The following is a 23,403-nucleotide window of genomic DNA, read 5'->3' as shown; positions in this document are numbered from 1 at the left end:
AAGAATGAATAAGTAAATAAATAAAGTATTGGGGAGTAATTAACACTAGCTGGGGGAATTTGATAACATTTATTTATCCAAATATTCCAAGCATAGTTTGTGGGGTTGATGACTAGAACTTAGTACAAAGATTCCTGTATTGAAGTCTCCATCCTCAGCCTGCAAAGCTCAGAGATTCTGAGCAAAGTTTTCTCCTTTGGTCTTTTGGTGTCGGTGTTTTCACCATCCTGAATTGCAATATTTCTTTTGCCTTTATTCTTTGCTCAGCAGATAGGCATGTGGTTGCGGAAGCACATAAGCAGACTTATATATAAGAGGGTGTTGCCCAGATTTTTTGTGGCCTATGTGCACAGACCTTTAAGAAACTTTGTTCTCCAGTAGAATTCAAGACAGATATTGAATTCATTGTAAATTGTCATTAAATTATTATATGTTGTTTACACTGAATATATATATATATAATAACCAAAATAATTTACTCATAAAAATGCATATAATATGAGTTAATAGCTCTAGAAACTGTCTCTGGCAGAAGACATATATAAATAAATCACTCAGAATTTGGTAATGCTGCTGAGATAGGAAATGAACTAGATAAGAAAAATCCTGTTTAGAAATTAAGATGTTGAACATGGCTTAAATCTGGCCTGAAGAAAAGCTTACATCTTTTTTTTTCAAATTAGAGAAATAAGATGCTTTGTTTCTACTGTACTCCGGTCCTAACTACTGTTCTGTGGATATGGTGTGACAATTTGTACAATGCATATCAGTTTTATAAAATAATGTTACGGAGCACACGTTTCATTTCTTCTTTGTAAAAATCAATCCATAGCTTTCTTAAATATATAAAAACCTGAGGAATGGCAGGGGATGTGAAGTAGGAAGGGTGTCCACCCAAGGCTCACGAGGTCTTCTGAGAAGTCTTAATTTTAAAAAGCAGCTGGGCACGGTGGCTCATGCCTGTAATCCCAGCACTTTGGGAGGCCAAGGCAGATGGATCACTCGAGGTCAGAAGTTCGAGACCAGCCTGGCCAACATGGTGAAACCCCGTCTCTACTGAAAATACAAAAATTAGCCAGGGGTGGTGGTGGGTGCCTGTAATCCCAGCTACTCAGGAGGCTGAGGTGGGAGAATCACTTGAACCTGGGAGGTGAAGGTTGCAGTGAGCCAAGATCACACCACTGCACTCCAGCCTGGGTGACAGAGCAAGACTCCATCTCAAAAACAAATAAAAATAAAAGTGAGGGGAAAAAAGCAAATGGGACTTTAAAATTCTAGGTCTGAGATGAGAGGGACACAGTTTTGAAAACTTAAGAGTAAGACTTTCCTGTGTCTTAAGGACTTCAAAATTTTAAATGCAACCTATACAAATACAAAAGAGTCTTTTTCATAGCTTTGAAAAATTGGTTGCCTCTGATTCATATGTTCATATTATATTTTAAAAAGCTAGTCTCATTTCCAGAAACAAAACATACCTAGTACAAATGAAACTGTTGTGTTGTGAACATTAAATATCTTGCTTTGCTTTGTTTTCTGTTTTTTACATTAGGCATTTGCACAAAAGAAGGAAGCACTGTATTTGAATGTAAAGCTCCATGAATCTTCTTTGTTTTTAGGGTTACTGAAAATTTAACACATTTTCAATTGTGAAGATTTTAGCACTTCTAAATGTGTGATCATTCTTTTAATATACCACCATTTTTTCGATTAATTCTTTTAATCAATGAGAAGTGTTCTCCATCAGGTATAAATCTCTCTCCATCAAACGGCCTATACTAATAAATGATCCAACTGAAAATTCTGAACCAAAATTTTTTAAAAAAAGATTAAAAAATGAAAATTCTGAACAAAACAATGCAGAAGATTCCAGAGTGGGAGGGCAGATGTATTGCAAAATGAGGCTCTTGGGAGAAGATACAAATTAATCGCCCTCCATCCAAGAATAATTGCGGAGGCAAAATAATGAACCAACCTAATCACCTGGGTGATTAAGCCAGGAAAAATTGATGTAGTGAAGGTGATAAGTTTAGGTGTGAATTATTCAAAATGCATAATGTCATTATAACTTAAAATTATAAATACCCAAATCAAATATACCTACAATTTTCTTAGAAACAGCCAAAATTGAAAAATATAGTGTCTTAAAAATATTTTTATTTTTTGTAAATAAAAGATAGAAAGGCAAGCATTGGCATATGTCTTTGCACTTAAAACACATTCTTCTTGCCCCACTGAAAATTAAAAGTGTAAGATCTTTTCTGTTACACAAAATAAATTCCTTATCAAGATATTCTATTAAAATACCTGTCAACCAACTTCAAAGATCCACAAATAAAATTTGTTCTGGTGTTGGCACTTCTATTCTGAGGCTACATGATATTTGTTTTCCTTCATGTAAGCTTCAGTACATCAAAAGGGGCTGGGGGGCTAGTAACTAACTAGCCAACTAGCTTCAGGACAAAAAAAAAAAAAATCAGTGCAGAACTATTCCATCATTTTTCCAAGCTTCAAAATGCCTCTTCTCTGAACTAATGGTAAAGTAGCAAGAGTCTGTCCCCTCCTTTAAACTTCTTATTAATCTGTCTGTGATTTATATCCAATGGAATGTTTATACTTACTCTGTTTGAAATCATTTCTAAAGTTATAATGTTTTAAGTGCATTCTAAGAATTTGCAAGGATCATTCTTATCTAATCGGACTCAATATCAATTGGATTTTTTAATATTGTAAGTATATTTGCCAAACAAATGCAGATCTAGCGAGGGTGTTGATCTTGAGAATTATTGCTGTACATCACAAAAAGACCATGTCAACGTGTCTCTTCCAGGGAGTTGTCATTTAAGAAAGGAGATACTGTCTACATCCTCAGGAAAATTGATCAAAATTGGTATGAGGGAGAACACCACGGGAGAGTGGGCATCTTCCCGATCTCATACGTAGAGGTAGGTCCTCTCCCTTTCTCTCTTGGATGGCGGTGGTTTCAAAGGTCACCGCAGATTTGAGAATAAATGACTATTTCCTTCATAGAAACTCACACCTCCTGAGAAAGCACAGCCTGCAAGACCACCTCCGCCAGCCCAGCCCGGAGAAATCGGAGAAGCTATAGCCAAATACAACTTCAACGCAGACACAAATGTGGAGCTGTCACTGAGAAAGGTAGCCCAGCTGGTTTTTTGTTTGTTTGTTTTTGTTTGTTTGTTCTTCAGTGGGTTTGAAAAGGCTGTATATTTTCAAAACTAAAATAGGTTATCTTTTTCTTTAGACATTTTTATGTTTACCCTATTTTCTACAAAGGACTCTTTAAGGCAGCCCAGAGTCACGGTTCCCTGCTGGTCCCTGTGTCCTTTTAGAGGAGTTCCCCGTGGGATACCAGGCTTCTCCCTCTGTGGCTTAGTCTGGGAAGCCGGGCATGGGGCTGAAAATCAAGGACTTATACATTCGGGAGCACAAAAGGAAAAAGCAGTTTGATACACTTCAAAATATGTTGTTTTGCTGCCTTATTTTTCAGTCTTTTAAAAACAAGATATTCCAATCCTTATCTTCCTCTATCTTGGAATCTAGGAATGGTCCTAGGTAAAGAAGATCCTTCCTCTTGGGGGAGCCGCTTTAAGAGCCATCTCTGCAGTGCTCTTCCCTGGATCATCCTTCTTTGGGCCTCATAATTGACCCAAATTTCTCTAGCAGCCCATCCAATCCTAGTATCTCTTCTTAATAATATCAAAAGCCTCGAGGCCGGGCATGGTGGCTCACGCCTGTAATCCCAGCACTTTGGGAGGCCAAGGCAGGTGAGCGAGATTCCATCTCAAAAAAAAAAAAAAAAAAAAAAACACAAAAAAACAATCAAAAACCTCTTTTAACCTGCTAGTTTACATAATTGAGAATGATAAATGAATTATTCTTATTGCTTTCTAAATATGACATATATTTGTTTGAGGTAACTGCCTCTGCACACAACACAGGCGAGGTAGTAATATTTAGAGTGGCTCTAGGACCTCCCACACCTACTAGTGAAATCCTTAGCCAGGTGCGATGAAGAGCAATACCACAGTCCTGGTTTGTTCTGGTCCTGGCAGAACCTTGTCTCATTCTCTCCCATCAGTCTTAATTCTGCATCATCAGCCGATTCCTTCTTTCCTATCCTCTGGGCTGCCCCACCTAGCATGAGAACCACAGAGCATTACATGAACTCTGTCTCCTGTTCCATGTTCTACAGAAAGGCTTCACCAATGCCTCTTACAGCTCACACAACAGCCTAGCAACTACCTGTTCTTGGTATACTAGAAAATCGGTGCAATTTTCAGATTTGGGGAGACTGACTTTTTTTTTTTTTTTTTTTTTTTGAGATGGAGTGTCACTCTGTCACCCAGGCTGGAGTGCAATGTGTGCTCTCAGCTCACTGCAACCTCTGCCTCCCAGGTTCAAGCGATTCTCCCACCTCAGCCTCCCGATTAGCTGGGACTACAGGTGCCCGCCACCACACCCGGCTAATTTTTGTATTTTTAGTAGAGATGGGGTTTCACTATGTTGGCCAGGCTGGTCTCGAACTCCTGACCTCATGATCCGCCCGCCTTGGCCTCCCAAAGTGCTGGGATTACAGGCGTGAGCGATTGCATCCAGCCTGAGACTGACTTTTCTTGAGTATGTTCTGCTCAGCGGTGGTGAAGCACACAAAATCAACCATCCAGCGTTTCAACACAAAGAGAACTTCCAAGTGCTACTCAAGGTCGAAGTTCTTCTTGGGTAGCACCTGAAGAAGGGTGCCCTGTTGGGCTGAGATTAATGACTGTTTCAGCTCCATCACACCATCAGGTGCCGCTGCCCGAGCTTCTGTATCACCTGCTGAATGCAGCTGCAGTTTTTGCCCGGTAGCATCAACTTGCCTGCCTACTTCTAGGCTACGTGTAGTTTTGAGTTAAAGTTTAAACTGAGTTCTGCAGCACTGGCTCGGTCATGGCAGGTGGAAGTGATTCTAGAAAGTTCTATCATTGTGAAAGCCAAGGGTTCTATTCAAATCTTTAATGACAAGTATGGAATGGTCACCAACTACTCAGATGGATGCTGGGTTTCCATTGTCAGGGTGAAGACCAGGGGAATGCCAGTCTTGTCACAGCTATTGATATTCTAGGGCGCTCTCTTTCCCCCATCCCTTTAGTTCACTCTGTCACTACTTAGCGCATGTAGATTAAAGAAGAAAAGGGGCCGGGCACAGTGGCTCATGCCTGCAATCCCAGCACTTTGGGAGGCCGAGGCGGTCAGATCACTTGAGGTCAGGAGTTGGAGATCAGCCTGACCAACATGGTGAAACCCCTATCTCTGCTAAAATACAAAAAATTAGCCGGGCCTGGTGGCGGGCGCCTGTAATCCCAGCTACTTGGTAGGCTGAGGCAAGAGAATTCTTAAACCCAGGAGGTGCGGGTTGCAGTGAGCCATGATCACACCACTGCACTCCAGCCCGGGTGACAGAGTGAGATTCCCTCTCAAAAAAAAAAAAAAAATAGAAATAAAAAAAGAAAACGGTGTACCATTCGATGTTCTCCCTTCTAGAGGTGTTTTCTGTAACCCATTTCAGACAGACCCTCACAGCAAGCTATGGTGCACTTTCTGAAGCTCTTCCTACAGAAGGCCAATGCACTGAACCTGCCAGAGATAAAATAATCCTATTGTCATTGAGACATTACCTTTTACACTATTCTGCTTTTTGAAATAACTTAGACAAATAATTTCACACAATACCAGCATAAACAAGTATAAACCCGTTCACATTAATCAGGCATCCTTAGGGAAGATTCTGATGGCCTGAATGGACATTTCAATTACATATATGTTGATCATGTGTATTTTTCTAGTAAGCACTAGTACCTTACTTGCCCTCCCCTGATTAAACAAAAACTGAAGGTATAAAACCTGCCCAAATGGAAACCTATTTTTTCATAGAAAACATTGACAATTATATTTTCATGTTATTCTATCTCTGTTTCTAATGCATTTTTCTCATATTCATAACAGGGAGATAGAGTTATTCTTCTTAAAAGAGTTGATCAAAACTGGTATGAAGGTAAAATCCCAGGAACCAACAGACAAGGCATCTTCCCTGTTTCCTATGTGGAGGTCGTCAAGAAGAACACAAAAGGTGCTGAGGACTACCCTGACCCTCCAATACCCCACAGCTATTCTAGTGATAGGATTCACAGCTTGAGCTCAAATAAGGTAAGAACATACTCTATCATGTTAATGTAATATTGGAAGCTCCAAGTAAGATAATCGGTGTGTGACTTTAGGATATTAGATTAGAATATCATATCTATTGCAGAGAAAGAGATTTACATATTATGTTTCTACATGTGTGAGTGCCACATCAGTAAATATAAGTCAGTGTTTCTCAAATAGGTGCTGGCATAAAGATTTAATGATTAATTTTGCTCATTTCATTTTCAAGTTAAAATATCGAAAGAGAAAGAGAAAACGAGAGTATCATGAAGTCTCGTATGATATATATCTGTACTCCTGTGTACATAAATGTTTTCTGAAATAATTTTTTCCTAAAGCTTCATTTTTATATATGTAAATTTTATGTATATAATATAATCTTTACATATAAATAAATATAATCATATATTCATACATGTATATACAATTGTGATTTATAATTTGAAATATAAATATACACAACACAAAATACTATGTATATCTCAAAATAGTATATCACAAGAACACCGGGTTATTAGGTTGACAAATCTATACAAGTTTTTTATATGGAAAATGAGCTAGAGCAAAAATTTTTAATTAGAGTCTATAAGTCAAGATGTTTATTAGTTTAAATGAAAATGTTGTCGGTTATTATAAGTCCTCAAGTTTGTTTTATCAGTTTTAGGACAGTTATATGCCAGTTCTACTGTTTCACTTGAGCGGGCTAAAGATGATTATCTTTCTCAATACGTAATTTAAAAGAGGCTTTGCTTCTTTAATTGGTGAATGTAAAAAGGCTATTTGTCTGTACTCACAATGTGAAATTTTTTCTTATTTTTCTGATGAATTATATTCTTTTTATGAAAGGCATGTAAGGGTCTTTTTTCTCATTAACTTCTAGGAATAAAACTTTAAATTGCCAATGACTTCCAAAATGTTTTAAGTACTTCTCAACATTCAAAAAATGTATTAAGTTGCCTAATTTATTAATTATTTTAATTGAGATCAAGGCTAGGACATGAAAAGCTAAACCATCGAGAGCTGGTAAAATAAAATCAACATATCAGATGTTACTAAAGTGTGAAGTCACTTCATGTTCCGATGAAAAAACTGTTTCAAGATAGCATCCCAGTGACCTAAACTACTTCTTGAAAATGAGCCTGAGAAGGATTTTATATGAGGAAATGATCTAAGAATCTGCCATCTTAAGAGAGGCATTTTTTTTTAGAAGGCTGAAGTCTTGGCATTTTATTTATTGTGATCCTCTTTGAAGACTGAGTTTCAGTTGCAAATAATTACCCTCAACCCTGTATTCATGGATAATATATGGAAGAGTTTGGTACTATCCAATTTTGTTTGCTTGATTGGTTATAGTTTTCCAGAATCTTCTTAAGTATATTTACTTCATTACCAGACCTTAGCATTTACAGATCAGCATCCTTCCTTCAGTATTTTCTATTGATAAAGAGAAAAGATAAGAATCTTCATGCATATATTTGTCTTATCCACCATTCAGTCATCTTTAAATAACTATCACAGAAATTTCAAAGCAACTGTACCTTCAAATAAAATGTTGTAAGGAAGAAAAGCATGTATGTACAAAAGCTCATTAAACATCTAACAAATTCTTCCATATGTCCTAATATAATATTTAATGGCAATATAATATTTTTGATCCCAATGTTTTCATCTTTGATGTGAATACAATTTAACTGTAATTGAATATATTTTCAAGTTTTTAAAGTAATACCAGATTTTAAACAGAGGCATGTACAAATTTCACTAATAACCAGTTTTTTATTGCTCACTGCTGGGGAAAAAATATGTTGAGAAGCTTATGTCCATAATTAGGAAGAAATACTTAATGGTTTTATCCCAACTGGTAATCCATGCTGTGATGTCACAGGCTTAATGAAGAAAACTTCCCGGAAGTGACAACCATTTTTAGAAAGATAAATATAATGTATTTCTAAATGATAACATCCAAAATATACTAAACGCTACAGAACCTATTTTCTAACTGATATTTACAAACAGAGAACTCATTAATAATTTATAAATCACTCTGGTGACACATTTAAATCACATTTCTTGACATACTGTCTTTGTCTTAGGGGAGACTAAAATGTATGTTGATTTTATTTCTGATATTTCTGCTTTTAGTGCATTAGAATCCAATTCTGATGCTTTTGGAAAACAAAATAATTGTATGGGTTTTGTATTATAGGTATAGGTTTGTGATCTAGTTATACCAGGATGCTTCATTTGGCTTTCGGTATAAGCAAGTCCATCATAAAGCTAAGCAGTTTAACCTGCTGACATGTATTTCGGTGACTGTGGTGGTGACGGCACAGCGTAGTCGCAGCATCAGATAGCAATGGTGATGGTGGCAGTAATGACAAGGGAATTCAAGATCTTTCTTTCTCATCTACATAATATTCCTGGCATAACAGAAAGTGAAAGTGGAAACCTGATGGTCTGAAATTATTATATATTTCACAGACTTTCCAAATCTAACTATGAAAACTTCTGTGTTATGTAACAAGGGGTATAAACTAGAACTCTAGCTAGTAAGGGAACTTCTGTAGACTGCTGAATGAGACTTGAGTGGTTTATATCATTGAAAACTCAGCATCTACAGGACTTAACAGGAGTGGCTGTCTACCTAGGCGCAAACCACACGTGCAGTCTCACTGTGTGTCAGCAGCTAAGCAGCCCAGGTCCTGAATCCTGTATTAAGATGCTCACATGAGTTTTGTGATATTTATGTCATCCCACGATAAGATGACTTAAAAAAAAAAAGCTAAATAAATCTAATTAATACCCCACTCCTACTATAGGACACAGGAGTCAAAAGTTAAGTAGGAAATGCATCACCCACTCACACACACTAAGTCCCCAGGAGCAAGAGGGCTGCTTCCCTGTGTAAAGTGTTATCCTAAACAATCAGCTGGAAAGTGTATCTCCAGAATCTTTTTGGAGATGTTTTTCTTTCCAAATCAAAGACATCTACCTGGAGAGACCTAAAGTGAAAGGTCCCTTCTCAAGGCTTTTAGGCACATAGCAGGTAGCATTTTCTCTAGTCCGGTAAGGGTAGATAAACGTATTCCAATGTTAGTAAGTGGCACTTCTGGAACTACATTTTTTAATTTCTAATTTTTATGGGTACATATGGGGTGTATATATTTATCAGAACTACTTTTAATACCTTTGCATAAAATTTCAAATGTATTGTTTCATTTACTATATCCAAAATACATCAGTAATACTACGTATGTAGAAGTAAGTATATTTTACTTCAGAAGATTAAGCTTCATAACTCATACCTCCTCTGATTTACATAAATGTCAAGCTTTGAAAGAGAACGGGAGCTGAAGCAGAAGTCCTCCCTCCCGTTAGCATCAAATGAGCTTTCTATGTAAATATTTACTTTGGATTTTTTAAAACTTTGAAGCCGTAGTTATGTAAGCTCAGCTTCATTCTGATCATGGGTTCCTGTCTTTGAGACATAGTTTTCAGAACTTATTCACTTAGAAATTTGTTAACATATAATGATCTAAAATACTTTATTCATATGTTGTAATCACCTTGCAAACATAAGTGAGAAAATTGTCAGCGTTTAAAAGATTGGGCTATCCTGCAGGACAAGAGAACACTACACACATTCAGGAAATAAAATGACTTCACTATTAGTTTTCATTCTACATTAACATTTCTCTGGAGTCATTTATACTCTACTAAGTCAGTATCTGGAAACCTGTAATATCTTTTCAACATAGTTTAAAGTAAGTAAGCATTAAATCTCTTAAGGGCCAGGCGCGGTGGCTCACACCTGTAACCCCAGCACTTTGGGAGGCTGAGGTGGGTGGGTCACGAGGTCAGGAGTTCAAGACCAGCCTGGCCAACATGGTGAAACCCGTCTCTACTAAAAATATAAAAATTAGCTGTACTGGTGACATGCGCCTGTAGTCCCAGCTACTCGGGAGGATGAAGCAGGAAAATCGTTTGAACCTGGGAGGCAGAGGTTGCAGTGAGCCGAGATCACACCACTGCACTCCAGCCTGGGTGCCACAGCGAGACTCCATCTCTAAAAAATTTTTTAAAAAATTAAAAATAAATAAAAATAAATCTCTCAAGGTTTTACTGTCCTGGTAATCTCTATATCATCTTTATCTTGTTTGACATTTAAGACCCCTTCCAAAACTAGTAGAGTTTCATTTGTGAAGTAACTTTTCTAATTAACATAAATGATTTTATGTATTTAAATTTCAGCAAAATACCTTCAAATCTAGATATCTTCTAAATGTCTTCAAATCTATGTTAAACATAAAATTATTTTCATATTCACCACCGCATCTTTTCTGCATTTCTCCATCGCTATGTTTTGATGCATTATTATTATTTTCTTAGTTTATTTTTTCTTAACTTCATAATCCGTGCTCATTTCCAAGTTGGCTTCCAGTGAACCAGCCCCTCCTCCCACCCACAAAGTCTCACCTGGCTCAGATAAAGGAGCTCTCCAGGGAACTGGCCAGGGCTGGTTGTCCCTGACAGCCTCATGTCTACCAGCAAACCCTTTGGCCCCAACACCACCTCGTTTCCTGGACAACTTCTTGGGTGAATTGGAGAAGCTTGGTGCTTTAACCTTGTCAGCTGACCAAGCCAAACCAACCATCCTAGAGGACGCCATCCTGGAAATTAAGGAGGAACCTGCTGTCCTCCTCCCATTGTCCCCAGCGACTGCACCTGCCGAATCACCTTCCACTCACGCGGGTGTGGCCTCGGCTGCAGCCCAGCCTTACCATGCAGAGCCTCTTCAGGATCCCAGAACGACAACTCAAAGCAACTTTGCAGAGTTGAGAAAAATGAGAAGGGGCTTCTCAGACCCTAAAAAGGCACCAGAAGTCCTAGGGGATAATTTTGTGGCCTCTGCGTGCACCAGCGTGGGTTCCTTGCCTGTACCCCTTCCGGTCATTGGAGAGGAAGATGAGGGCATCTATGAGGGGATTGTGTCAGGCATCCAGAGAGGGCCGCCAGAACCTCAGGAAGGAGACGCCTGGTGGTGTGGCCACGATGGGTCAGAGGGCACCCCACACCTGCACATTGAAGAGGAGGAGGAGGAGGAGAAACCCAACTGCCTAAAACACCCCATAGCCACCCCCACAGATCCTAGGACCCCCAAGGAGGACAGCAATGCAGCAAAACCCAGTAATGAGGTATTTTAATTTTGTCTGATTATGGAAGAACTAACCGGCCTTACCATGATTAGCTATTAGAGTTAATCATATTAATAAATACCTATTTTGACTAACAGATTTTTTTAAACAAAAAACACAAATACTATATAAGATGGGGGTGGAGTGGGTATATGAAAACACACCATATTTAATTAAATGATGTAAATATGTGATATAATTCCATTATCCCATTTTTCTTCAGGACCATAAACTTATATTGTAAAAGTCTTTGTAATTGATATAGTCTTTGTAATCTTCCAATATTAACAATGATAGCTAATAGTGGAGCTCTTACTGAGTATCAGACACTATTCTAAAAACTCCACATCTTTAATCGTCAAAACCCAGTGAGGTGTGTGACATTATCATCCCCACTTTAGAGAAGAGGAAGTTGATGCCCAGAAATTTGTCCTATTCCAGGATGAGAAACTGTACACCATACCTTTGACATAACGGCACTTTGCAAAAATAATAATGCTAATAATAAACAAAGACAACAGAAAAGAAAAACAGCACTTCTGTCCCCTTTCGATTTTCTAAAGAGGTCGTTCTCTTTGTGTTGACTTCACATTGACTACTTAAGAACTGGGTACTGTATCTTCATGTTATGAAGAATCTTGAACAGTGGTTTTAATCAACAAAGGCAGAAAATATCCAGAAACTTTAGCTTGCAAACCTCTCTCTTAAAACAAAAAACGAGCCTGCAACGCCAGCACTTCCAGAGGCCGAGGCAGGCAGATCACCTGAGGTCAGGAATTTGAGATCAGCCTGGCCAACATGGTGAAACCCCGTCACTACCAAAAATACAAAAACTAGCCAGGCGTGGTGGTGGGTGCCTACAATCCCAGCTACTCGGGAGGCTGAGGCAGGAGAATCACTTGAACCCGGGAGGAGGAGGTTGTAATGAGCTGAGATCGTGCCAGTGCACTCCAGCCTGGGTGACAGAGCGAGACTCCATCTCAAAAAAAAAGAGAAACTTAAGGCCAGCTGCGGTGGCTTACGCCTGTAATCCAGCACTTTGGGAGCCCAAGGCTGGTGGATCATCTGAGGTCAGGAGTTCGAAACCAACCTGTCCAACATGGTAAAACCCCCATCTCCACTAAAAATACAAAAATTAGTCAGACATGGTGTTGGGTGCCTGTAATCCCAGCTACTCGGGAGGCTGAGGCAGGAGAACTGCTTCAAACCGGGAGGCGGAGGTTGCAGTGAACTGAAGTTGTGCCACTGCACTCCGTTCTGGGCAAAAAGAGCAAAACTCCATTTCAAAAATAAAAAGAAACTTGATCCCACAAATGTACCCTGTGAATTAAGAAGCAAGTATAATTACTGGCAATTATAGAAATTATGAAATAACAGAAAGGATGGTTCCTATTACGCTACTATCCAAGTCAAATTCTTTCATAGTTCCTGTATTTCAAAATAACCCGGCCAGGCCTGCATTTGTGTAAAACAAACACCTTATTTAATAACAGATAGATAATTCATTGCAAGGAGCCAAACGTGTCTCTACATCAATTATTTCAGTAACTAATATTCCTTTCAATTCAATCAATCTGAAGGTGTGATTAGATGTGTGGCTTTGCTGACACAGACAGTACCCTAGGCCGGCTCATCCCAGCACCAGCTCACACCCTGCACGCGGGGCCACGGCTTCCCCAGCTTTGTGACACGCTGACTATAGTTGGCAACCTACTTTACACGCAAGTTACAGTCATTGCAGGGTTTTAAATACTTTTTTCCTTCACTTTTAGAAGGAGCCATCATATAAATATATGAGAAAATGATAGAATATAGGTGTTCCTATCTCCAGCCACCCCCATGCGAAAAATTAAACTGATCATACCATTGGGGATTTTGAATCAAATTCAAAAGAGGAAGTTAGTGGTTTCAAAGCAAAAAATTTGTCATAAATATAACTTCCCAAGGTTATTAGTAACTTTAAAATGTTGGAAGTTGAGAGGAAATTCCGTAAAGAGCATGTAACCTCATTCTGAGACAAGCATAATCACCTCTCGTCTTTCCTCGATATTTAAGCCTCCGTCATTTTCTTCGGGAGAGCAAGCACCCACACCCTTTCCCAGCCACCTGCTTTCCTCCCCTCCATTTCATTCTCTCTTCGCCTCTGTTTCTGACCTGGACTCTACACTTTCTCAGCCCTGCTCACCTCCTCTCCTCCCTAAATATTCTTATCAACAGGAGATCAATCCACCAAAATTAAAGGTAACTGCATCTTGAGTGTGGTTTATTGCATGTCTTCAATGAGCTTAATTAGTAAGATGTATGCATTCAGATTTGCGCCCTCTCACAAGACCTACGAAGTTACATAAATACTGATTGCTAACTTTTAACATCATGGGCGTGGCCTCTATCCAAACATTTAAAAGACATATTTGCATAGCAGCTATACCCAGATTGAGGAGAAAAACAAATTAAAATGTATATCATAATAAGAAGTAATGATGAGATTGTTTTCAGTTGGCCGTCAGCATGAGAAGCATCACATTTAAGGTATCTTAGCTCAGTGCCTGCCATTCTCCATCACCTCTCAGTGGACTCATTGTCTCCCGTCATTTCCCACCGATCGGCAGGTTCAGCAGAGCCTGGAGACAGGATGATCTTTGGCATTGACTGTCTTGAGCCTTGTTCTTCCACAAAAGTGACGTAAATTCATGAGGATGTGGGAAGGATCATCCTTTTGTAGCACTTCACAAAGCATCCATCTCTGAGACTTGCAGGCTGACAGTTCCGCTGGTATTTAACCTAAAGATACTATTTTTAAAAAATTATTTTAACAAAATTAATGACTGGCCTTGGAAAGAGATTTAATGACAACCACAGCATGAAATTAGTCCATCACTGAAATGTTTTCCTTCTATGTTCAGAATGATCCTAAAACATTTTCCTTTGGAAAAAAGGTGACAGACTTCAAACAATAGCTCACCCTCACATTCAGTCTTTTGAATGTGAAATGAGAGCCTCTGCACATAAGTAAAAATTTAGGGCTCTAATACAGCTAAGGTTCTGTATTAGGAAGTGCCATTTATACAATCTCAAAACCACTACCACCAAACCCATTCGCTGACATAGTCTATCTATGTGCTCCTGTTAGGCGTGAAAGGAACTTTGTAAAAAATGAAACACTTTAATTGCTTTTGCTCTTTGAGGTTTTTTTTCTTAGCTGGCAGAAAATAATTAGGAAATGTTTTAAATAATGCCACTTTATATGATGCCTAAGGCTAAGAATTTCTCTTTTTTTCTCTTCTGTCTGTGGTTTTATTTTTAAGGCCAAGGTATTTATTTCTTGTCTTTTTTTTTAACTTGTTCTTCGGTTTTTAAGCTTAGTCAATAAGAGGGAAAGTAGCCTTAGAATCTGAGTTCTCTAATTTGGAAAGACGGAGGACGCACCATCGTAGCATCAGGACAAAGCCAGGATTTAAAAAGGTTTACTCTTCTGCAAGAACAAAATTCTTCTCGTATATTCTTTAAGTTTCCGTTGTTTGCAGAATGACATGAGAGAATGGAGGTATTCACAATAACTATGTTTTAAAAGAATATTTTAATGACCACATGAGATACTTCTGACTAACTCCAGCAAATCAAAGTGATTTTCTCTGTTTTATCTCCTATTTAGGAGGAAATCTCAATTTTTGAATCTCCCACTGAGTTTTTTTAAACCTTATAAATCTATTTTGTAGTCATTGAAAGAATATATTCACTGAAGTTATTTGTGCTTGTAAATTTAAGTACAAATTGAATCAACTCGTAATTTTAGGCCATTATAGTTTAATTCTGCATCTGACCCAGTTACAAACTCTGCCAATCTGAGTCCGAAGCCTTTTTATTTCTTCCATTTCAAGAATGCTGATGCTCATTGTAAAGAAAAGAAATAACCCAGCACTGAAAGCAAAGAGAAAATAAACTCTTAGTAATGTTTTAATGACATAGTATAGCACGCATGAAATCATTGTAATAACATTTTTATCAACCCCATCAACCATTGTTTAGTTAACTCATGTTAAGTCAGTGCAATTTCATTCTTTAAAGTGTTTTCTAAGACAATGACAATCTCCATAAAAGTAAATGCAATCCAGAATCTTCCATAAACGTAAAAGTTCCTACCACTTTATAGATTACAGATGACTGAAAGATACATAAATTATGTTTAATGTATAAATCTGAATCCAATATTTCCCCCAGTCTTCTGAGCATCTGCTTTTAAAATAATGATTTTTTCATAACAAAAAATAGTATAAATTGGCTGGGCACGGTGGCTCATGCCTGTAATCCCAGCACTTTGAGAGGCCAAGGTGGGTGGATCACAAGGTCAGGAGTTCAAGACCAGCCTGGCCAAGATGGTGAAACCCCGTCTCTACCAAAAATACAAAAATTAGCCGGACGTGGTGACAGGTGCCTGTAATCCCAGCTACTCGGAAGGGTGAGGCAGAGAATTGCTTGAACCCGGGAGGCAGAGGTTGCAGTGAGCCGAGACCGTGCCACTGCACTCCAGCCTGGCAACAGAGCGAGACTCCATCTCAAAAAAAATAGTATAAATCTCAGCTCCTCTATAAGCTGAGCCTCCATTTCCATCCGAGAGACTATTTTGCAAGAGACTTGCCGCATGTGGTCTCAAGTTGCAGCGGAAGCTCTGTGAGGAGAGTGAGAGGCTCTTTTTTAGGTTTCTTCCAAGTAACTCAGTGGTTGTGGTCCCACCAGGAAGTCTCGTCACCCTAAAGCAGTCCCATCAGAAGGGGATCCCCGGCGCACGGTTTTCAACATGAAATCAGGCCCTGATTTTTCCTAATATGTTCACGTGCTCTTTCCAGCTGTTATGATCCACATCATTCTAAAAGCTAAATGGGGTTATTTTTTTTCTCTAAGAGCTCTGATATGCATTGAACCCCTGTATTAGTCAAGACTGGGATAAGCACAGTCCCAGAAAACTCAAAATAATTATAGCTTAAACAACGTAGAAATATATTGCTCTTACACATAAATGAAGGGTGTCCGGGACTGGTATGGTGGCCCCGCAGTCATCAGAGAACCCAGGAGTTTCCATCTGATGTGGGCTCATCGCCATCCTCAGAGAGAAGCTTCCGCTATGGGTCCCAGGTGGCAGCTCGAGTAGTTCCCTTCTCACACGAACCAGCAGGAAGGAGAAAAGATGGGAGATTACACCTTCTCCCTTGAAGGCCAAGTCCCAGAATTGCATATATCCCCTCGGTCTCAGCTTATGACATGAGTACATCCAGCTACAAGTCAGGAAATGTGGTCTTTATCCAGAATGGCCATGTGCCTACCCAACAGCCTGGCCCCATTACTGAGGACCAAGAAGAGAATGGATGTGGAGAGCATCAAGCATCGTCTGCCACGACACTTAAGCAACGGTGCCAAACACATTTCATCCCGAGAGGCTGGGGATTTGAGGTCAATCATTACTGAGAATTAGGAAAACTTTTCTAAATGAGAGTTGAGAAAACCACATGCTTTTATTTAAGCGTGTTTTATTCCTCCGGAAGTTCTCTTAAGCCAGATCAAATACCAGGCAGTACACTGCCAGATCCTGTCCGCTATTGGAAGGAAAATAAAACCTACACAAAAGAAGGTCAGCTTACTCACTGTCATATGAAAGATCTTACTCTGAAAATAAAAAAAAAACACCAAAACAGTCCAGCCCACAGGTTGGCACTTCAGTAGTTCATCAAATTTCACCATGTTTCCCCCCAAAAAGGCCTTATTTTCTTCTTATGTGTTAGAAAATTTTGCCTCCAACAAATGTCTGATACAGTCCATGAAATTTGACAGGCATTAAGCCAAATTCTCCTCTATCTCACCTTGCATCCCTTCAATAAGATGAAAAAGCAGGGCAGGTTTGAGAGCATCTTGAACCCAATTGCTAAGCATTCTATGAAAGACATAACATTTCTTGGCCGGGCGCAGTGGCTGACACCTGTAATCCCAGCACTTTGGGAGCCCGAGGCAGGCAGATCACTTGAGGTCAGGAGTTCAAGACCAGCCTGACCAACATGGTGAAATCCTGTCTCTACTAAAAATACAAAAATTAGCTGGGCCTGGTGGCGGGTGCCTGTGATCCCAGCTACTCGGGAGGCTGAGACAAGAGAATCGCTCGAACCCGGGAGATGGAGGTTGCAGTGAGCCGAGACTGTGCCATTGCACTCCAGCCTGGGCGACAGAGCCAGACTCCGTCTCAAAAAAATAAAAGACAAAAAAAGATATAACATTTCTTATATGTTCTTGGCCTCTTCCCTATGCCAGCTTTCCTCTGTGAACCTTTTTCTGCTGTGCCTGTGGGTGCCATGTTAAGATGGCAGCTGGTGCCTGTGGTGTGGAAACTGTATAAGCAGCTGGAGAAGCTGTGGACCCTCCCTGCCCTGCTGTTGTGCAGGAGTTTGGCATGCTGTGTGTGCATGGAAAAAGCCAGCCAGGAAAGCTCCTCCTGAAGTCTGTGTGACGAAGATGAGAGCTAACTAACTTCTTGTACATTTTCCAGGCTGACGTAAAAAGCGAGATATGTGTCCTGGGTAAGCCTCCTCGTAGCCCAGTGATGTCTAGGAGATTCTGCGGCTCACCTGTCAGAGGGCTCAGCGGTTCCCACAGGGTAGGGTCAGCATGCCCCCACTTTGTGGCAGGCATCCTGGCCACCTCCCCCGCCCCCAGGGCTGGCTCTTCCTTAGTTGTCTTTGCTGTGAACTGGCCTTAAAGTGAGGCTGGAGACACCCTGAAGATGAAGCGACCACCTGGTGATGTGCTTCCCTTTTAGGTGTGTGTGAGGTTTCCAAACTCCACAAAGACATGGTCAGATTCTCTACTCTACAAATAAGAGTGTCGTGTGTTTTGTGGTCTACATCTGTCTCATGGTTCTACACTAAATCACTGCTTTCTAGTCACCGTTTCTCCTGCAAAGAAAAAACTGTTGCCAAGCATCTACAGTGCCGAACTCACACACTTCCGGTCATGTTTGCTTCTGTGTCATTCAATTTGGATTTTTTTTAAATCCATGATTCTTGTCTAACATCTTCTGTTTCTCTGGTGATGTGCACTACATCCTCTCAGTCTGCCTTTTGTCCCCATACTGCTGTCTGGATTCTATCCACTTCCTATTTCTTGCCAGCTCTGATTGAACTTAAAGGTCAAATTACTTTCCCTTAGCTACTTCGTTCCATAGTATCTACAGTACTTTAAAATACATGGACTCTAAATGGTACTTACTATCAATTCTAAGGAATGCAGCCAAGGAGTTTGGAAATTTTCATCTGGACATAAGTCAGGATTCCTTTCCTCATTTCTGTTTTAATGGACCCGGATTCAACCTTGACTGGCCTATCGCATGGCCGTGCTTCTGCATTTCAAGAAGTTCTCAAGGGCTTGATTTCACAGAAGTCTTCATTTTTTATTTCTAAAGAAAAGTCGATATTATTCTGCATTCATGCCACTTTGTGCTTTTTGCATTGCATAGGAAGACCTCATTTTGTTGCTGAGGCAGAGCTTTGTGTTGCCATAGAGACAGAAATGCCAATTTGTAGAGACTCTTAGACTCCCCCGAATGGCCTTCCAGAGCCAAAGCAAAACATAAGCTTCTTTTGCAGTGAAAAGGACCCATCTATAACCCTCCTGTGGGTCCACGAGATGGTATGCTTGTGTTCCCCTTAAGGTTTTTTTTTTATTTTTTGCCTGATTTTTACATTATGTATTTGTATGTCAGATTACACGTGTGTTTGTGTGAACCATAAATATTCTATTTTTTTAGATTTATGCAAAGTTGTGTTTTACCTTCATAATTTAAGAAGGAAAAATAAGCCTCTAGAAACATAAACGTGGTATTATTAGGAGAATTTCATCGAATTCTGGTGGGCAAATATGACAACTAATATTTTATAAAAAAAGATAAAAACACTTTAGCACTGCTTATATTGCTTTCAGAGATTTTTTTGCATTAGTGTTTAAAGTAACAGTCAATCCTTCTTTAAGAATTATTTGATACTAAATATAGCTAATCCTCCAGAGATAACTGCAGAAGCTTTGATAAATTAGACGGCTTTTCAACAGACTGTAGCTCACTAAGATCGGAAAGTATATATTTTACTGATGTTACAGACTCCATGATGTTTCAAACCAGCTTCCTTATGAACAGCAACTTGTGATTGGTTCTGGCTTTGGAAATTAGCATGTGTTTAAAACTTGTCTCTTTTGTATCCGTTTTTGACAACATTAAAAAATAGCTACAGAAAAATACTTACATAGTCAGGGCTACAGAAAAAAATACATATTTAGGATACGATGAAAACCGCAGCATGCTTCACTGGATTTTTCTCTTGTTCTACTCTTAAGATTCATCAAGGAAATATAAGCATAATATAATTCTTGTTCAAAATGCCCAGCACAGTGATTGTAATGTGTCAGTTGAAAGCCATCTTTCTAGGTTCAGCTCATGTAAGCCTCTCTGAATGTCACAAGTGTATATTGTTCTATATTTATCTTAAAACTGCTAAGAAGTTAGGGGAAATGGAAATGCCTGCACAGATAGTCAAAATAGAAATGGACACGGACCAAAAATGCTGGTGGCTTTACAAGGGATGCTTTCTCAAAAATTTAAAACGTGGGGAGGGAAGAACATGGTTAGGAAAACAGATGACTGTCTATTCCACATCACTCTGCGGCCTTTAAAATAGGCTTTTAAAATTTTTCCAGCCTTGGGAACTTGGATAAAAAGGGGCAGATAAAGCAGAAACAACTCTCAGCTTGTTGCTGCCATTGCTCACCACTAGGTGGCGACAGAGTGCAGCTGCATTACAAATCTCTGCTTAAGCGACTTGCCATTTGAGTTACATCACCAAGGGGAAAGGGCGAAAGACAGTCTCCCCAGATAATCTATTTACATCACCTTATAGGACATTTGCACCTACCTCAGCGTCAAAATTAAGATGCTGATTTTAGCCAAGGTAGGCCAAGTAGTCCATCATAGTAATCTTTCATGCAATAGCGTGCACATCGAAATTACCATTTTGTTTCTTTTTCTGTTTGTTTTTTACCTATTTGTCGTATTAAGAAATTATCCAGTATCTTTGGGTTTTGGTTTACCATTCTGCAAAATGGAGTTGAATTGTAACCATTATTTTTTTTTACGTGACCGAGACACATGAGAATTAACCAATCAATGTCAGTGTCCCAGCTCTCTGTGTAAAACTGATGACGGACACCTTTACACAGCAGAGGAAATACATCTGTGGAAATGTGTATCCTTCATGGAATCCCTGAGGGGACCCGATTAACCCTCATCTTGTCCAACTCATTGATTTCAGAGATAGGGAAGCTGAGGCATCCCCAAGGTTATATGGTGCTTAACGCCCAAAACAGAAAGACGCAGATGAGCCGTCTTAGATAACTGTTCTTGCTACTCATTCCCTACTAGTCAAATGCCTTTAAAATAAACTATTTCAAGTACTGTAATTAGTCAGCTTTCCTCAAAACTGTCTCCTAGTTATCCACATTAACATGGAGGTGATTCTTGTTAAAGGTAAGCTTTGAAAAGTTCTAAAACTCGCCATTATAAGACACACACAACTTCTCTGCTACGAAAAGTCTTGATTGATTCTGGCCTCAGGATGTGAACAGTATAGAAAACTGATGATTTGTGTGTAAAAAGAGGGGCAGGGTTTGAAAGATATGAAGGAAGGGAAAAGAGAAATTGGGAAACAGGTAAAAGCAAGGACGGGGGCCGGGCGCAGTGACTCACGCCTGTAATCCCAGCACTTTAGGAGGCCAAGGCGGGAAGATCACAAGGTCAGGAGATCGAGACCATCCTGGCTAACATGGTGAAACCCTGTCTCTACTAAAAATACAAAAATTAGCTGGGCACGGTGGTGCGTGCCTGTAGTCCCAGCTACTCGGGAGGCTGAGGCAGGAGAATCGCTTGAACCCGGGAGGCAGAGGTTGCAGTGAGCCAAGATCACACCACTGACCTCTAGCCTGGTGGCAGAGTGAGACTCCATCTCAAAAAAAAAAAAAAAAAAAAAAAGCAAGGACGGTGCTGGCTGCCCCACACAGGAACATACGTTCTCCAGCCATGGACGTGGGATCCAGGAAGCTGCAGGTTTGCAGCAATCACCAAATTTTCATAATGGTCAATGGGACAGTTCAGTTAAATGATTGATGAGGTGGGTTGAGTTAAAGGAATTAAACTAGTAGAATTATAATGATGATAACTAAAAAGGGATATACGGACTTTAAAAGTTGATTGTTTTACATTAATGAACAATTTGATTTTTAAAGTGGTATTCACATTTTAACAAAAGAGCAATGAAATGAAACTAACCAGTTTTACAAAGCATTGGATGCCATGATGTAGAAGTTGAAACTTTTACTCAATTTTAAAATATTAAAATGGTTTAAATGTGTGAAAACAGGGATGCCAATTTTAGAGCATAATGAAATATATTTTACACAACATTTTCTCTTAAGACAAGAATAAATAATATTTTCTTATTCATAACTTTATTATGCACTGCAAATGGTGCTATGATTGTTTTGGGGAAAGAGTAGTAGCTATCTTGGTATATGATATGCAGTCTGGCATATTAGACATTTTCAAGTTACTTTTGAGTACAGTATTTTTCAGTGACTAACATGTACATTCTCAAAATCATATGGCTTTAATGCATACTCTTTGGCCAGAAGTTTTACTCCTGGGAATATATTCTAAAGAATAGTTCAAAAGAAGAAAATAGCTCTTTGCATAAAAAATGTGTATAGCATTGCTGTTTATGATAGCAAAAAAAAAAAGACTAGACCAATTCTAACTTCAAAACTAAAAAAAAAAGAGAGGAATGGTTAAGAAAACTATGATATGTAGACACACGTGGGAGAACATTATTCTGCAGACATTTGAAATAAGAAAGAAGACTGAGAAAAAAAGACTGGAAAGTTATTACAAAATAATATTAATGGCAATTGATGTATACAAATCTTACTTCTGCATGAAAGTTTTATACATATATAAAGTTTTATTGGACTGGAAGAGAACTTGAAATAGGTAATATGATACAGGCTTATCAATGACTTACAATTACCATCTTATATATTTAAATTGATTTAATAATATCTTGAATTAAATGACCTTTAAGATGGTTGGAAAACTGGTTAGTCATAATTTTTCTTAAAATATGAATATCTTCCAATTTTAATAATAGATACATCATTAGTAGTCATATTGATTTACAGGAGTAAACTATTTCACTCTTAAGTCATAATTGTGTGCAGTAATTCTTACGCACTCTAGTTTTAAATATTCTATCCACAGACTGTTGAGTGAAATTTCTAAGAACACTGTTAATAAAGGTTTCCAGTTAACCGAGTCAGAGCTTACAGTTTTAGTACTGTGAGTACCTAGTCTTATGCTAGATAGACAAGTAGGATAGAAAGGGGGTGGATAAAGAATTTAGGAAGTGGGTGAATCATTGACTCGTAGACTGAAAGGAACCTCAGAATTATCCATCCAAGCTTGGATCAGTGGGGTTTCTATGGACAATTGGCAGCAAGAGATTTCAGCCTATCAGTAATCCACTCATAACTATGGAAATCTAAGAACTGGTCCCAAAGTCTAAGGACATGGATCTAATAGCTATTTCAGTAGTCATCAAACAGTCACTTATATAATTGCCATGCAAATTCTGATTTTACCCTGTAGCTATCATTTAGAAGCAAATGCTTTTGAAATGGATTATGAATGATTTGTTTGCATTTCTCCCCTAAAAGGTAAAGTTTAGGTAGTCAATATAAATTACACTGAGTTTATATATTCAACAAACATGTTAACTTTCATTCACTGAAAATATTAATGTGGGTATATGGGATGCTAAGGCTTGTCATTTCCAATATTATAAGTATCTATTACAGATACTGGTCTTGATGCTTAGTTTAAAAAGAAAAGAAACTCTTTTGAGAGTTCAGTGCACTGGAAATTTCT

At 38.9% G+C, this 23,403-nt stretch overlaps 1 protein-coding gene across 42 annotated transcripts in view; it reads left to right on the top strand.

The window, feature by feature from the left end:
- Positions 1-23,403, top strand: part of SORBS2 (sorbin and SH3 domain containing 2) — a 370,850-nt gene that overhangs the window by 338,386 nt on the left and 9,061 nt on the right. For all 42 annotated transcript variants that reach the window (NM_001394255.1, NM_001394267.1, NM_001394264.1 and 39 more), the window contains 3 exons: positions 2,828-2,942; positions 3,028-3,156; positions 6,007-6,207. In NM_001394255.1, coding sequence (NP_001381184.1) covers positions 2,828-2,942; positions 3,028-3,156; positions 6,007-6,207 — 445 coding nt within the window. The remainder of the gene's footprint in view (positions 1-2,827; positions 2,943-3,027; positions 3,157-6,006; positions 6,208-23,403) is intronic.

The sequence above is a fragment of the Homo sapiens genome, chromosome 4, assembly GCF_000001405.40.
Source record: "Homo sapiens chromosome 4, GRCh38.p14 Primary Assembly".
Taxonomy (NCBI): Eukaryota; Metazoa; Chordata; class Mammalia; order Primates; family Hominidae; genus Homo; species Homo sapiens.
Note: the sequence above shows the minus strand (reverse complement) of the source record. Positions and strands in the feature narration are given on the sequence as shown.